The sequence below is a fragment of the Homo sapiens genome, chromosome 3 (genome assembly GCF_000001405.40).
Source record: "Homo sapiens chromosome 3, GRCh38.p14 Primary Assembly".
NCBI lineage: Eukaryota > Metazoa > Chordata > Mammalia > Primates > Hominidae > Homo > Homo sapiens.
Genome location: NC_000003.12, coordinates 136,439,068 through 136,455,927, shown reverse-complemented (window position 1 = coordinate 136,455,927; position 16,860 = coordinate 136,439,068). Strand labels below are relative to the sequence as shown.

Genomic DNA, 16,860 nt, shown 5'->3' with positions numbered 1-16,860 from the left:
TTCTGTTCTTTCTCAGTCTGGTGAAGACTCTTAGTACTGGAGCTTAAACACTTCCCTGGAACTATATTGCTGGCCTTACATTATTTCCCAACCTGGGAAATCCTTAAGTGGGTACTGCAACTTAATCCTGACCTTTTAGTTGTTTCCAGGCCAAGGAAAGACTTTATACAGTCACCTGGGCTTTGTGGAAAATACATCTAGGGATTTGATCCTTCGCTTGGATTGTGCCCCTTGCAGTGCTTTTGCACTGGCCACTCCCTTCAACATGGCATTCCCACTGGCCAATGTGCCGAGTGGCTGCCAAGATCCGTGCACCAGTTGCTGTGATGTGCACCAGTTGCTGTGATCAGCACCCTATTCTTTCTCCCCAGTTCACCCCAGGTGTTTCTGGCCTCCAGGCACTCCCAGTGGTTCCGTGGGATGGAACTGGAGTGGGCTTCTTGCAAAGATGCCCAGACCAGCAAGGAGAGCAATTTTCCACTTCTAATTCCCTCTTACCAGAATCATGGGTCTAGGGAAATTCTCTTTGAGTTTTGCCAGCTTGTAGGGAGGGGGCAGTTGGCACCGTGTGAAATGACTGTTTCTCTTACTAATCATAGTTTCTTGATTCTGTGGGCCCAGAGGGTTTCTCCACTTCTCTTCAGAGTTCTAGCATATTCAGGGTGGTATCCTTGTGTTTGAATAGTTTCTGGTTGTATCTTGGTAGGGGGAGTGATGCTCGGCAATCTTCTGTTCCACCATCTTGCTGATATCACAACACCAAAAAAAGTTTTTATTAGAATATCTGCCACAGAAATCCAGAAGGATAAGCCTCCATTAGTTTTTGTTTCTTTGTGAAAATCAAGCCAATTCTTATGCAAATGAAAGCTTCACTCCATAAATGTTTTTTAGGCCCGTGTCTTGGAGAAACTTACAGTTTGATGACTTGATTAATGATCTCTTTTATCATTCTTCCATCATTTAATATGGTGACTTAGAAAATCTTAAATAAGCTATGGTGTATCCCCAGGAGTTCCATGATCAGCTTTCAAAGATACATAAATGTACACATCCACACACGTATAGTGTCTTGTAGTCTAGTCATAAGCTATTCACAATATTAACCAATCATCCAAAAAGTAGTAAGATCTGTCTGAAATGAATGTTTTACTACATGATCAAAAATTCCACATTTTAATACTCAAAATTTAAGCAAATTCCTCAATACCTTATTTATATGCAATAAATGGAATTATTTAAATTGGCACAAACTGGGCATGGTGGCTCATCCCCATAATCCCAGCACTTTGGGAGGCCGAGGCAGGTGGACGACTTGAGGTCAGGAGTTCGAGATCAGCCTGGCCAACATGGTGAAACCCCATCTCTACTAAAAATACAAAAAATTGGCCTGGCATGGTGGCACACGCCTGTAATCTTATCTACTCCAGAGGCCGAGACAGGAGAATCTCTTGAGCCCAGGAGGCGGAGGTTGCAGTAAGCAGAGATCATGCCATTGCCGTCCAGCCAGGCCGACAGAGTGAGACTTCATCTCAAAAAAAACATAAAATAAGCCGATCACGGTGGCTCAGGCCTGTAATCCCAGCACTTTGGGAGGCTGAGGTGGGCGGATTACTTGAGGTCAGGAGTTCGAGACCAGCCTGGCCAACATGGTGAAACCCTGTCTCTACTAGAAAATACAAAAATTAGCTGGGCATGGTGGCAGGCACCTGTAATCCCAGCAACTTGGGAGGCTGAGGCATGAGAATCGCTTGAATCTAGGAGGCGGAGATTGTGCCGCTGCACTCCAGCCTGGGTGACAGAGTGAGACTGTGTCTCAAAAAATAAATAAATAGATTGGTATATTTCAGTTATCAGGGATATTCATATTTTCCTTTTACCACCCCTCTGAAAGTCACCCATTAAACAGAACCTTCTCTTAAATGACAGCTATATAGATTATAGATATAGCTTCAAGATAAGTTCTCTAGTCCCCTAATATGCCTTCCTCCTCACCTGCCCCCCCAGAAAACCTCAGCTTCTCTGTGGTCGTTTTCTGGTAGAGATTGGTTTATTTTAATATCACATGAAATTATTCTCATTTTATTCAGTTATTTTGCCTCTCATTTGAGAGGCCTACTCTGACTTTTATGTATAAACTAGTACATGCTATATACATATACCGTTTTTTTTTTTTACTTTTCTTTATAACCAGCAACAGTATATACTTATCTACCGTTTATTCACTAAAGTGAGAGCTCCATGAGAACAGGGATTTTGTCGTTTGTTCCTAAGATTCCCTTTTACCTAGAGCAATGCCTAGAAATAAGATACCTTTAGCAATTTTTTTTTTTTTTTTTTGAGACATAGTCTCGCTCTGTCACCCAGGCTGGAGTGCAGTGGCGCGATCTCGGCTTACTGTAAGCTCCACCTCCTGAGTTCATGCCATTCTTCTGCCTCAGCCTCCCGAGTAGGTGGGACTACAGGCGCCCGCCACCACGCCCGGCTAATTTTTTGTATTTTTAGTAGAGATGGGGTTTCACTGTGTGAGCCAGGATGGTCTCAATCTCCTGACTTCATGATCTGCCTGCCTCGGCCTCCCAAAGAGCTGGGATTATAGGCGTGAGCCACCGTGCCCGGCCAACTTAGCAGTTTTTAAGTTTTGTTAGAATAAATCTAAACAAATTAAAAATTTCAAATCTTTTTTTTTGCCATATTTCAGATGTTTTGTTACTACATGATATTTTATTAATTTACCATTAATGTCATTTTACTAAAAACTATTGGGTTCATAGATAATGTTTCCAGATAATAAGGTGTGAATTTTTTAAATTATTGATGAAACATTTGGTTATATGTTATAATTACATGACTGTGAAATCAGTGTTTAGGAAAATAGAACTTAGGGCCAAGGCAGGGGTATCACTTGAGGTCAGGAGTTCGAGACCAGCCTGGCCAACATGGTGAAACCTCATCTCTACTAAAAATACAAAAATTAGCCCAGCATAGTGGCAGGCACCTGTAATTTCAGCTACTTGGAAGGCTGAGGCAGGAGAATTGCTTGAACCCGAGAGGCAGAGGTTGCAGTGAGCCGAGATCATGCCACTGCACTCCAGCCTGGGTGACAGAGCGAGACTCTGTCTCAAAAAAGAAAATAGAACTCAGTTAAAAATTACATATTCTAGTATCAATCATACAGGATAATAGCAGTCCTTATCATTTTCACACATATTTGAACATTGATTGTTCATTGTAAAAGTTTCCCTTTACATTTTATATCTAGTTTAACCTGTAGGACATTGTTCAGATGCCACCATTTTCCGACCTATAATGACATCAGTTACATATTTCTATTGAAATAGATGAATAATCTGATCTCTGATTTTTTTTTTTTTTCGGAGTCTCTGTCACCCAGGCTGGAGTGCAGTTGTGCAATCTCAGCTGTCTGCAAGCTCCGCCTCCTGGGTTCATGCCATTCTCCTGCCTCAGCCTCCCAAGTAGCTGGGACTACAGGTGCCCGCCACCATGCCCGGCTAATTTTTTGTATTTTTAGTAGAGACGGGATTTCACCGTGTTAGCCAGGATGGTCTCAGTCTCCTGACCTCATGATCCACCTGCCTCGGCCTCCCAGAGTGCTGGGATTACAGGCATGAGCCTCTGCACCTGGCCTGATCTCTGATGCTCGTTCTCCCTGCTCCCCCTTTTTGTTGTTGTTGTTGTTAAACACTGAAATGATTTGTGTGTTGAGGGAAGACTAAAGTTCATATTCATGTAACTTTGCAATGCCCTGTTTTTCATTTCCAGGCTATTTAGCAGACATGACCCACAAGCAGAAGAAGCATTAGCAAAGAGGAGGGGAAGAAACAGCCCGAATGGAAACCTCATTAGGATGCTGGTTCTTTTCTTTCTTGAAAGTGAGGTAAAAAATGTTTTAAGATAATTCCTTATTTCTTTTATTATATTACATTTTAAATGTCAATTCATTTTAATTTTTTTCAATCAAATAAAAACAAGTCTGTTTCTTATAAAGTTACCTTCATGAATTGCATGATATAGAATCAGTCCTTTACCTTTTGTGGAAAGGTGTTCTGAATATATATGTAGGTGTGGATCAACACTGAATACAGACTGGCAATTGTTAAACTTTTACAGTATTGCAATACTGCATATCTTTTTTTTTTTTTCTTTTGAGACAGGGTCTCACTCTGTCACCCAGGCTGGAGTACAGTGGTGCGATCTCGGCTCACTGCAGCCTCTGCCTCCCAGATTCAAGGGCTTGTCCTGCCTCAGCCTCCCGAGTAGCTGGGACTACAGGTGCCCACTACCACGCCCAGCTAATTTTTGTATCTTTAGTAGAGACGGGGTTTCACCATGTTGGCCAGGCTGGTCTTGAACTCCTGACTTAGGTCATCTGCCCACCTTGGCCTCCCAAAGTGCTGGGATTATGGTCATGAGCCACCATGCCCAGCCTGCATACCTTTTTTTTATTGTTGCCTTTTGTTTTTATGCCTGTAGCTTTTACATTACATTAAACAGTTTTTGAAAATTGTCAGACTGTTAATAACATTAGTTTTATCTTGTTTGAAAATTATTTAGTAAGGAGAAAGAAAAATACAAATTCATGTTTTAATTGATAGTTGTACGAGCCTCATAGCAATATTTCCATGTGCTATATTCAGTTATTGCTTAAACAATTTTGTAATTAACACTTATATGTCAGGATCTGTTTTCTCAAGTAAACTTCGGTTTTTCCACCAAAATGGTGTGGGTTTTTTTTTTTTTAATATATTGTAATCTGTATTTCCTACTACTGCCGTGTCATTGGAGAAACAGTAAATTAAACCTGAAGAACTCCTGAATAACTTAACTTCTTCGTTTAGAAATGCTTGAAAATAGAGTTGCAGGCCAGGTGCAGTGGCTCACGCTTGTAATCCCAGCACTTTGGGAGGCCGAGGTGGGCAGATCACTTCAGGCCAGGAGTTTAAGACCAGCCTGGCTAATATAGCAAAAGTCCGTCTCTACTAAAAATAGAAAAAAATTAGCTGAGCGTGGTGGCGCACACCTAATCACAGCTAATAAAGAGTCTGAGACACAAGAATTGCTTGAACCCAGGAGGCAGAGGTTGCATGCAGTGAGCCGAGATTGTACCACTGCACTCCACACTTCGCGACAGAGCCAGATTCTGTCTCAAAAAAAATTAAAATAAATAAGCAAACAAAATAGAGTTGCAAAAGAAGTAAAGAACATCTAGAAACCTAGGACTCTCAATTTTATTTGTTAAAAAGTGTTTTTGATTTGTGCTAGAATGTCAGTGAAGAAACGATTCTATGAATGCTCAAGTTTGAGAGTAAGAGGGGAACTTAGTAGGAATAAGGAAGAGAGACACAAACAGGTAGCCTATATGAAAATTAAAATTGGAGAAGAACTCAGTCAGTGGAGTGAAGGGTGTTAGGGCAAAACAGCAGAAAGTGGTGAAGGAGTTGCTGCCATTTTTTAAGAGAGTTACCAATGACTAGAGAAATAAAGTCAGAAACAAAACTAGCTAGAGAGTTGAATTTGAGTAAAGAATGTGTTTAATAGTATTTTAAATGTGTATGCAAATTACCTGAGGATCTTGTTAAAATGCCAGTTCTTATTCAATAGCTCTAGAATGGGGCCTGAGATTCTGCATTTCTAACAGTCTCCAAGATAGTGCTCATGCTCGTGGTCCAAGGATCACACTTTGCATACTAATGATTTGAAGCATTATTTTCTTAACAAGCAAGGGTGCATGTATTACAGAATAAAATGCAAAGTGTGAATTTTTTTAGTAAAACACTAACTACCCCGTAAATATCACATGTCTAGTAAACCATTTCAACTTACACTCTTACCTCCCTTAGGTTTTTTAGAGGAATGGAATAAAAAGTAGCCAGACATGGTGGCTACTTGGGAGGCTAAGGTGGGAGGATCCCTTGAGCCCAGGAGTTGCACAGGCTGCAGTAAGCTATGATCGCTCCATTTGTACTCCAGCCTGTGCAAGACCCTGTCTCTAAAAAAAAAAAAAAAAAAGCAACAATAGTTTCAGAAATTGATAAGTATGAGATAACTACTAAAAAGTTTAGGGAATATGATGATCTTCGCTAACTGACTTTGATTATTCATTAAAGGAAAATGTTTTTTATCTCTGAAAGCTCAAGGGCTTTTCAATTTATTAAAAGGCATGAGTACTTAGTTTCAGGCGTTTTGTCTTTTATTTAAAGAAGTAATTTGTAATGTTTATTACTGCACAATTTTCAGATGGTCTTACTGTATTCCTGTGTTTGCTACCATTTTCTAAAGTCTTACAACAGAATTAGAATGTATTTGCCAGCTGTATTACATTCCTTTTTTTTCCTTCTTTTTTTTTTTTTGAGACAGAGTCTTGCTCTGTCACTCAGGCTGGAGTGCAGTGGCGTGATCTCAGCTCACTGCAACCTCTGTCTCCCAGATTCAAGCAATTCTCATACTTTATCCTCCAAGTAGCTGAGACTACAAGTGTGTACCACCATGCTTGGCTAATTTTTGTATTTTTAGTAGAGACAGGGTTTCACCATGTTAGTCTGGCTGGTCTCGAACTCCTAACCTCAGGTGGTCCACCTGCCTCGGCCTTCCAAAGTGCTGGGATTACAGGCGTGAGCCACCACGCCTGGCCCTGTATTGCATTTTTCACAGCTACAAAAGCAACTGCAAATAGTATTGAAAGGTTTCTGGTTGATTCTAATGATTCATGGTGTTTATATTGACTTTTATGGTATCCTGTGTTTCACAAGAAATATTCTTTGTGAAAATCTCTCCTCTTATCTTTTTATACTAGTGTACACCTAGGATGAATGCTTAATGAAGCCATATTCTCATAGTATGATGGTATTCCAATTGTGCTCTACTCTGAATTTCTCTTTGTTTTACTGTCACACACTTTAATTGGTAAAATTTTGTAATAGACTTGTGAAATACTGAATTTAAAGAGACTTTAGAAATAATAGAGTAGAAAGAGTCTTTTTTTTTTGGGATGGAGTCTTGCTGGAGTGCAGTGGTGCAATCTCCACTCACTGCAACCTCTGCCTCCTGGGTTCAAGCGATTCTCCTGTCTCAGCCTCCCGAGTAGCTGGGATTAGAGGCATGCGCCACCACGCCTGGCTAATCTTTTTATTTTTAGTAGAGATGGAGTTTCGCCATGTTGGCCAGGCTGGTCTTGAACTCCTGACCTCAGGTGATCCACCCTCCTCAGTCTCCCGAAGTGCTGAAATTACAGGCGTGAAGCACTGTCCCCAGCCAAGGGAGTCTTTTATAGATTAGTTACAGACTGATATGGTTTGGCCCTGTCCCCACCCACATCCCATCTTGAATTGTAATAATCCCCATGTGTCAAGGGTGGGACCAGGTGGAGATAACTGTATCATAAGGGCAGTTTTTCTTACATGGTTCTCATGGTAGTAAGTCTCACGAGATCTGATGTTTTTATCAATGGGATTTCCCCTGCACAAGCTCTCTTGCCTGCCACCATGTAAGATGTCCCTTTGCTCTTCCTTCATCTTCTGCCATGATTGTGAGGCGTCCCCGGTCATGTGGATCTGTTTTGTGAGTCCATTAAATCTCTTTCCCTTATAAATTTCCCAGTCTCTGATATGTCTTTATTAGCAGCATGAGAACAGACCAGTACACAGACATTTACCTGGGATTAACTGAACTGATTATTTTTTTCTTTATTTTACTGAAATGAGAAGTAGTAACATTTTAGTAGAATTATAAAATGTTGAATTGGAATCAGTTTGCAGTGCATGTAAAATGTGATTAAGAGATCTGCATAAACAAGTCAGTAACTTTGTTTTCTTTTGGTACCAAAAGGTGATTTTTTAAGATGTTTCAACCTGTGACAGTCATTGATTTCAGGTGACAAAATACCTTGTATTTTAGATGCATGCCAGATAGTTGGATAAGTCGTACTTGAATGTGATAAGTCTGGATTTCCCTAGAGGTAGTATGACTCTAGAATTTATTATAAAAAGTGTGATGCAGCCAGGCGCGGTGGCTCATGCCTGTAAACCCAGCACTTTAGGAGGTGGAGGCGGGCAGATCACGAGGTCAGGAGATCGAGACCATCCTGGCTAACACGGTGAAACCCCGTCTCTACTAAAAATGCAAAAAATTAGCTGGGCCTGGTGGCGGGCACCTGTAGTCCCAGCTACTCTGGAGGCTGAGGCAGGAGACTGACAGGAAAATGACATGAACCCGGGAGGCGGAGCTTGCAGTGAGCCGAGATCGCACCACTGCCCTCCAGCCTGGGCGACAGTTTAAGACTCTGTCTCAAAAAAAAAAAAAAAAAAAAAAAAAAAATGTGATGCTTTTCAGAGGGATAAGGATGCTATTAGTAATTATTTCAAAACAACAAGAACAACCCAGAACATTTCTGGATAATCTGGCAGTATGGTCACCCTTCTTCTTTTTTTATTGTTTTATTTTTTGGAGACCAAATCTCGGTCTGTTGCCAGACTGGAGTGCAGTGGCAGAATCTTAGCTCACTGCACCCTCCGCCTCCTGGGATCAAGTGATTCTCCTGCCTCAGCCTCCTGAGTAGGTGGTACTGCAGGCACGCGCCACCACACCCAGCAATTTTTGTATTTTTAGTAGAGACGGTTTCACCATGTTGGCCAGATGGTCTCGATCTCTTGCTGCCCGCCTTGGCCCCCCAAAGTGCTGGGATTACAGGCGTGAGCCACCACGCCCAGCCAGTCACCCTTCTTATGAATGAGGAGGATAATTGTGACAGTCATTTAAGACAGGAAAATTGACAGCTTCTTATCGATATTTTTAAGAAATTTCCCAAAAATGCCAGGCACGATGGCTCACGCCTGTAATCCCAACACTTTGGGAGGCCGAGGCGGGTGGATTACCTGAGGTCAGGAGTTCGAGACCAGCCTGGCCAACATAGTAAAACACAGTCTCAACTAAAAATACAAAAATTAGCAGGGTGGCGTGGTGGGATGCACCTGTAGTCCCAGCTACTCAGGAGGCTGAGGCAGGAGAATTGCTTGAACGCAGGAGGCAAGAGGTGGCAGTGAGCCGAGATTGCGCCACTGCATCCTGGGCGACAGAGCAAGACTCTGTCTCAAAAAAAAAAAATATGAAAGAGAAATTAAGGTACAGTATAGATTAAGAAATTTTATTATATTGTGTAGTAGGAGCTGTGTAGGAGAACAGAAACAAGGGAGGCCAGGCACTGTGACTCATGCCTGTAATCCCAACACTTTGGGAGGATGAGGCGGGTGGATCACTTGAGGTCAGGAGTTCAGGACCAGCCTGGCCAACATGGTGAAAGCCTCTCTCTACTAAAAATGTAAAAATTAGTCAGGCATGGTGGCAGGTGCCTGTCATCTCAGCTACTCGGGATGCTGAGACAGGAGGATCGCTTGAACCTGGGAGGCGGAGGTTGCAGTGAGCCGAGATCATGCCGTAGCATTCCAGGCTGGGCGACAGAGTGAGACTCTGTCTAAAAATAAAATAATTTAAAAAAAAACAATGAAGGGAAAGAACCAAATCAAAGGACATGCAGTCAGATTACTGCCTAATAGACTCTATATGCAGATTATTACTTGAACATGTTTTCTAGGGAAGTGAAAAATCAATACAATAAAAGGAAAAGAGGAGTATAAGAAACATTGGTGAGCAAATAAATTAAAAAACAAAAAACAAAAACCTGAGCGCTAAACCTAAAAACTATGACATTGATGTTTAAGGCAAATATCTATTAATTAGTTTTTAAATGTAGGAGTATAGTGTTCAAATTAAATGAAGAGAAGTGAAAAATAGGCTAAGGATTTTGATAACGGATAAATGCTAGAAAATAAAACCCTGAATGAAGGACAGATAAAGTAATCAAGAAAACATCACAAATAGAGCACAGAAAATAAAATGCCAGCAATATTTTCAGCATGAGTAATCCCAGTAAATATAAATCAATTAACATATTTTATTAAAATGCAGATTATCATTTGGGATTGAAGTAAATGAAGAATAGCTTTATGCTATTTACAAACACATCTTAAAATAACTTATAGGAAGTTTATAAATAATAGGCTGGATAAAGGCTGGAAATAACTAATAAATGATTACACAAAGATAGCAGAGGGGGCAATATCAGTACAAGATAAACCAGAATTAAAGACCAAAAGCATTAAGAGGGATAGAAAGGGGATAGTCTGTATTTATTGAAGGTATAATCTGCCAAATATATGCGATTGTAAATCTTCATATACCTATTCTACAGAAATACACATAATCAAGCACAAAAGCATATTCAGCTGATTTATTGTAAAATATATAAAACAAAATTTACCTTGTTAAGTATACAGTTCATTGGCATTAAGTACATTTATATTGCTAGGCAGTCATCACTGCCATTTATCTCCAGAACTTTTTCAAATCTTCCCAAACTGAAACTCTTTATTTTAGCTTAAAATAAAGCTCTTTAATTTATATATGTATAAATAATAACTCTTTAATTTAGCATGGGTTAATAGCAACAGTTTTGAAACAATTTATTTTTCTTTTTTCTGCTGCCATTGTTCATCTTTGACTCTTGAGTTGTGCACCTCTTGTTCCTGTCACTGTTGGAGTAATGTTATGGATGGTCTAAGGATAGTTTCTCAGAATATGCGAATTAGGAAAGTTTGAAGATATCTCCCTCAAACCTTTGCCTATATTATTTACAAGCAAAGATGCTAATCAGTATTATTTACTCTGGCTTTGATGGAATTCACCAGGACATGTTGTGTGCATTTGAAATGCAGTCGAAATGAAGTACTGAATTAGTGTCAGAAGAGGCAGAGCATTACATAAGTCATTAAAATTCACACTGAAACCAGCCTAGTAACATGGTAACCCCGTCTCTACAAAAAAAAAAAAAAAAGCCAGGCGGGGTAGCACACTCCTATAGTCCCAGCTACTCCAGGGGCTAAGTTCGGAGGATCACTTGAGCCCAGGAAGTCAAGGCTGCAGTGAGCCGTGATTGTGCCAGTGCACTCCAGGCTGCGCAACACTGTGAGACCCTGTCTCCAAAGGAGAAAAAAAAATCACACTGAAGTTAAGAGTGATTATAGAGTTAGGAATGAGGAGGAAATCCAACTCAAGTGCTGAATGTGCCAAGATAACAGTAGATAACCAATAGTAGATCTAGAAGGGTGACTTTCATACTTTTGGGCCACTACTTATGATGAGAAAAATATTTTCTCTGACAAGTACAAGCACATATAACAGATTACAGTTAATGAAATAGTATTTACCCTTTCTATGTGCTATGCACTCTTTCTACTGTGCATCATTTTTTGAATCTTAGTTCTCAATGCATTGAATTGGTTTAATAACCCAAGAATGGATTGCAGTCTGTAGTTTGACTAACACTGATTACCAGGACTGTTTAACTGAATGTAATGAGCCTCAAAAGTGGAAGATCTTTTATATTAGGGTGGAGAAGTTACTTGTAAGTAGCAGAAACCAGAACAATGCCAACACCTTCTGTACTTGCCTTCCCTGAAAAGCTTCATTAGAGTAATATTCTCAGGGCCCAGCATGGTGGCACACACCTGTAATCCTAGTACTTTGGCAGGCCGAGGCAGGCAGATCTCTTGAGGTCAGGAGTTGAAGGCCAGTCTGGCCAACGTGGTGAAACCCCATCTCTACCAAAAATACGAAAGTTAGCCAGGCATGGTGGCGTGGGCCTGTAATCCCAGCTACTCGGGAGGCTGAGGCAGGAGAATCACTTGAACGCAGGAGGTGGAGGTTGCAGTGAGCTGAGGTCACACCACTGCCCTCCAGCTTGGGCGATAGAGCAAGACTCCATCTCAAAAAAAAAAAAAGGATAATATTCTCCAAGGCTTAATGACTGGCAAGTGGTAGAGTTTGGTGTGAAGTGTTTGATGAAGACCTTAACTATGTTTGTTTACTGTGGGAACATGGGCTCCAAAGAAAATTGTCAAGAGAATAATGACCAACAGAAAATGGGGGTGGAGTAAGGAATGAAATGAGTCCAGTGGAAATGAGAGTAGAATAGTGGAGAGATGGAGTAACTTGTATTTTTTACTTTGACTAAGATGACAGAGATGTGAAGTAAGTACAGCTGGTCCAAGAGTTTCTAATGGAATTCCAAGGGAAAAATTATTAATTTCCTTTAAAAAATAAAAATAAAGATAGTTGAAGAGACCGCAAGGAGTAGGGAAAAGTGACCTAGATCCAGCATATAACTTCAGAAAATTTTCTAACTAGCTATGCTCTGTTTCCTCATCTATAAATGATGTCATTGGACTAGGAGATCCTTACTTTTACTACTGTAAATGGTAAAAAGTTGATTCTACATACTGCATCCACACTATTGACAGTGGAATGTGAATATATATATTGTTCTCTAAGTGGTTTTTAGAATCATGGAAACCAAGCCATTTTAATTATGAAGAAAATGATTTCTTAACTCAAATTAGTATTAGTAGTTTCTTTATTAAATATTCTTTGGTCACACTTGATTTTTTCTTTTTAGTTACATGAACATGCAGCCTACTTGGTGGACAGTTTATGGGAGAGCTCTCAAGAACTGTTGAAAGACTGGGAATGTATGACAGAGTTGCTATTAGAAGAACCTGTTCAAGGAGAGGAAGGTATAGTATTTTGACAAGTTAATTTACATGATTTTGTATTTCCATTGATAGCAATACAGTTGTATATAGATCGCTTCTTAAAAATGAGCATATATAAGCATGTTGTGTCTTTTTGCCAAGAGAACAATTTGTTTTCTGTAACAAGTAAGGATGTGTCAATCGTTTCTAACATGTTTCCATATAAACACTGCCACCATGCCACATAAGTTTTTAAAAATCCATGCGTGTCATGTAATAGTCAAAAAAGTTTTTCTTTACTTTTTCCTTTTTAAATTTAAGTGACAGGGTCTTGCTCTGTCACCCAGGCTGGAGTGCAGCGGCCCAGTCATAACTCACTGCAGCCTTGAACTACTGGGCTCAAGGGATCCTCCCACCTCAGACTATGGGCACATGCCACCACACTCAGCTAATTTTTAAATTTTTTGTGGAGACAGGGATCTTACTGTGGTCCCCAGATTGCCTCAAGTAATCTTCCTGCCTTAGCCCTCCAAAGTGCTAGGATTACAGGCATGAGCCACTGCACCTGGCCAAAAGGTTTTCTTGATGCTGATTTGAGATACAAAATACTGACGTAACTTAATGTTTTTTTTTTTAAGTACATCCAGAATTTTTTTTTTCTTGATTTATATGTGAACTTTGAAAAAACCTTTTATGCATAATGATTTAATTAGACCACAGCCATCCCCTCTTTTGTTGCATTTTCTTTAAGATAAAAATCAGGAAATCAGAGATAAAGTCATTTACCTAGCTACTCAAGAAATAGGGGGACATAAGAGCCACATGATAATTTTTGAAGTATGCATCTTTTTATATGCTACTTAATAATATGCACAGCAAATTGAACATGTATACCTAATAAAGAGATTGTGTTCTGAAAGCTTATACGCATATTCGTTCGTTAGAACTAGAAATGCTTTTTCCTGTGTATGGTTACGTTTTCAAACTAGCCCACAATAGTACTTTAAAGAATTGGTAACTCATTTAATTCATACAACAGCTTTAGAAGGTGAGTGATGCCTTGAGGTAAGTGAGGCCCACAGTAGATTGAACATGGTCTTCAGAATCAAAAGAAAATTTTTGTGTGTGTGTGTGATTGAGTCTTGCTCTGTCACCCACACTGGAGTGCAGTGGCGCATTCTCAGCTCACTGCAACCTCTGCCTCCCAGATTCATGTGATCCTTCTGCCTCAGGCTCCTGAGTAGCTGGGACTGCAGGCACATGCCATCATGCCCAGCTAATTTTTGTACTTTTATTAGAGACAGGATTTCACCATGTTGACCAGGCTCGTCTTGAACTCCTGAGCTCAGGTGATCCTCCCGCCTCGGCCTACCATAGTGCTTGAATTACAGGCGTGAGCCACCGCATCTGGCCAAAATCTAAAGTAATATTAATTCAAATTTTTAACTCTCTCTCTTTTTACTTATGTCCTCAGATTTTCTAATCCTTAGTTTGCCTTTTTCTGTAACAGAGATTATTTCCTTGTGTACCTTATATAGCTGTGAAGATTAAGCAAGATACTGTTCTATTGAGTCCCTTTTCTGCTTCCTGTACCCTCCTGTGTGGTTCATCCTTTTGGAATATTACAAGAGCATAATGAGCCATCCCCCGCAGTAGACTACCCATGCAGATTACCGGGAGAGTGAGCATCCCCCAGTGTTCCTTCCAAGCAGTGATACTAATTTGTATTATCTATTCTGGCTTTGACATAATTCATTGAGACAAACAAGTTTGTGTTAAACCCAGATACATGCTGGTAAACTGGCCCAAAATGCCTCTTCTAAACTAAAAACTTTTTTCTAATTTATTATGTGTGACACAAATTCTTCCCAAACTTTTCTCAGACCTTTCAAGGAAGAGCTTATTATGCTATATTTGCCTCTAGCTGTAATTATTATTTATTTTATTTGCACATGGTCTTTCACTCCATGATATCCTTAGTAAGAAAGTGGTCCTAGACCAGGTGTGGTGGCTCACGCCTGTAATCCCAGCACTTTGGGAGGCTGAGGTAGGTGGATCACCTGAGGTCAGGAGTTTGAGACCAGCCTCGCCAATATGGCAAAACCCCGTCTCTACTAAAAATACAAAAATTAGCCAGGTTTGGTGGCGGGCACTTGTAATCCCATCTACTCGGGAGGCTGAGGCAGGAGGATCACTTAAACCCTGGAGGCAGAGATTGCAGTGAGCTGAGATCTCGCCGATTCACTCCACCCTGGGCAACAGAGTGAGACTTCATCTCAAAAAAAAAAAAAAAAAAAAGGAAAGATGGTCCTGTTGTTAAGTTGACAGGGCCCTCTGCTCACTAGGTGAAACTGTCCACTATATTTTGAATTCCCTTCACTTTTGTGATCACAGGAATATGAACCTCTGCCTTCCCAGCTTAAGCAATCCTCCGACCTCAGCCTCCCAAGTGGTTGGGACTACAGGCGTGCACCACCATGCCTAATTTTTTTTGTATTTTCAGTAAAGATGGGGTTTCACCATGTTGCCTAAGCTGGTCTCAAACTCCTGGGCTCAAGTAGTCCTCCCACCTCACCCTCCCAAAGTGCTGAGATTACAGGCGTGAGCCACCACTCCCCGGCTTACACATTCTGTTTCTAACTAACCTTAATATTTTCCCTGATAAAAATCAATTTCCCTCTAATGTCTACTGCCTTATCAACACTTGAGTAAAGGGCCTCAGGTTAGTATTCAATGGTAGGTTCCATTCATTTTCCTTACCTTGTTTGTAGCTATAAAATTGCCAGAGTAAGGTAGAGCTTCTCCTTCCTATTCCAACTCATTTTCTGTATATCACCCCATGTTCCATAAGGTTATTTCCAAGGAGAAGGGAGGCAAAGAATATAAATTAAGGGCAGGGCGCAGTGGCTCAGGCCTGTAATCCCAGTACTTTGGGAGGCCAAGATGGGTGGATCATGAGGTCAGGAGATCGAGACCATCCTGGCTAACACGGTGAAACCCCATTTCTACTAAAAATATGAAAAATTAGCCAGGCCTGGTGGCGGGCGCCTGTAGTCCCAGCTACTCTGGAGGCTGAGGCAGGAGAATGGTGTAAACCCGGGAGGCAGAGCTTGCAGTAAGCCAGGATTGCGCCACTGCCCTTCAGCCTGGGTGACAGTGTGAGACTCCATCTCAAAAAAAAGAAAAAAATAAATATATAAATTAAGACAAGACAAGATGGTCTGCTTTGATATTGTTAACTTTCTCTCATGTTAATAAGATGTGTAAGTCAGTAAATAATAATTACTAAGTGTTTCAGTAATGAAGGTGGTCTAGGTGCATTTTACTTGTTAAAATATATACTATTAGGTGTTTCATTGTGGTTTAAATTCTGTTTACATTGGATTTTTTAAACTTCCGGTCAGAAGGTTGGTTTGGCTTGGCTTGGGTTTGGTTGGTTGGTTTAAGCTAGAAAAGTAACTTACCAGATGGGAACATTTTTGGAAGTCAACCACAGTTTCACTGATCGAATCTAGGTAGGCAGAGTCTGAGAAATTAGGCATAACAGTTGCAGAACTGTATCTACATAATGACTTAATTTTTCAAATACATTTTATCTCTATGCATGTTGTACCACATGCAAACCACATATAAGCTCTGGCATGGAGTGGCATCTAAATTAATTTTCTGTGCTAGTATTTTGCTGTATTTTATGACAACAAAATGCTACCAGTAACTTTTTTTTAAAGTAATTTTTTAGATAGGTGGAATGTGGTAGAATTCCAGTGGAGAAGGCTGTGGTTAGCAGTTGGAGATGTAGGACTAAATTTTGGGAAAGCAGACACACTGTGACAGACTACCAACATCAGTTTAAATCACAGTGGCCTTAAGACTGTCTTACAGTGTTTGTGTGTGTGTGTGTGTGTGTGTGTGTGTGTGTGTGTGTGTGTGTGTGTGTGTCGGGGGGTGTTTTACAGCAAAATCAAGTTGCTGAATAAATTTTTAGTATAATGTTTGGATCTGGTTCTTGTCAACAGCTCTGCCACCAGGTAACAAGACCATAACCAAATCAAGTAACTTCTGGATATCAGCTTCTTAAACTGTAAAATGAGAAACTTTATTTTTTTTTTTATGGGTTTTTTTTTTTTTTTTTTTGAGTCTGGGTCTTGCTCTGTTGCCCAGGCTGTAGTGCAGTGGCGGATCTCGGCTCACTGCAACCTCCGCCTCCCAGGTTCAAGCGATTCTCATGTGTCAGCCTCTCTAGTAGCTGGGATTACAGGCG

The 16,860-nt window shown here is 40.5% G+C and overlaps 1 protein-coding gene across 8 annotated transcripts in view; it reads left to right on the top strand.

Moving 5' to 3' along the window:
• Positions 1-16,860, top strand: part of STAG1 (STAG1 cohesin complex component) — a 416,143-nt gene that overhangs the window by 296,451 nt on the left and 102,832 nt on the right. For all 8 annotated transcript variants that reach the window (XR_001739978.2, NM_005862.3, XM_047447229.1 and 5 more), the window contains 2 exons: positions 3,781-3,895; positions 12,524-12,641. Coding sequence is in view for 7 of the 8 variants with exons in the window: in NM_005862.3 (NP_005853.2) it covers positions 3,781-3,895; positions 12,524-12,641 (233 nt within the window). In the remaining variant the exon portion in view is untranslated. The remainder of the gene's footprint in view (positions 1-3,780; positions 3,896-12,523; positions 12,642-16,860) is intronic.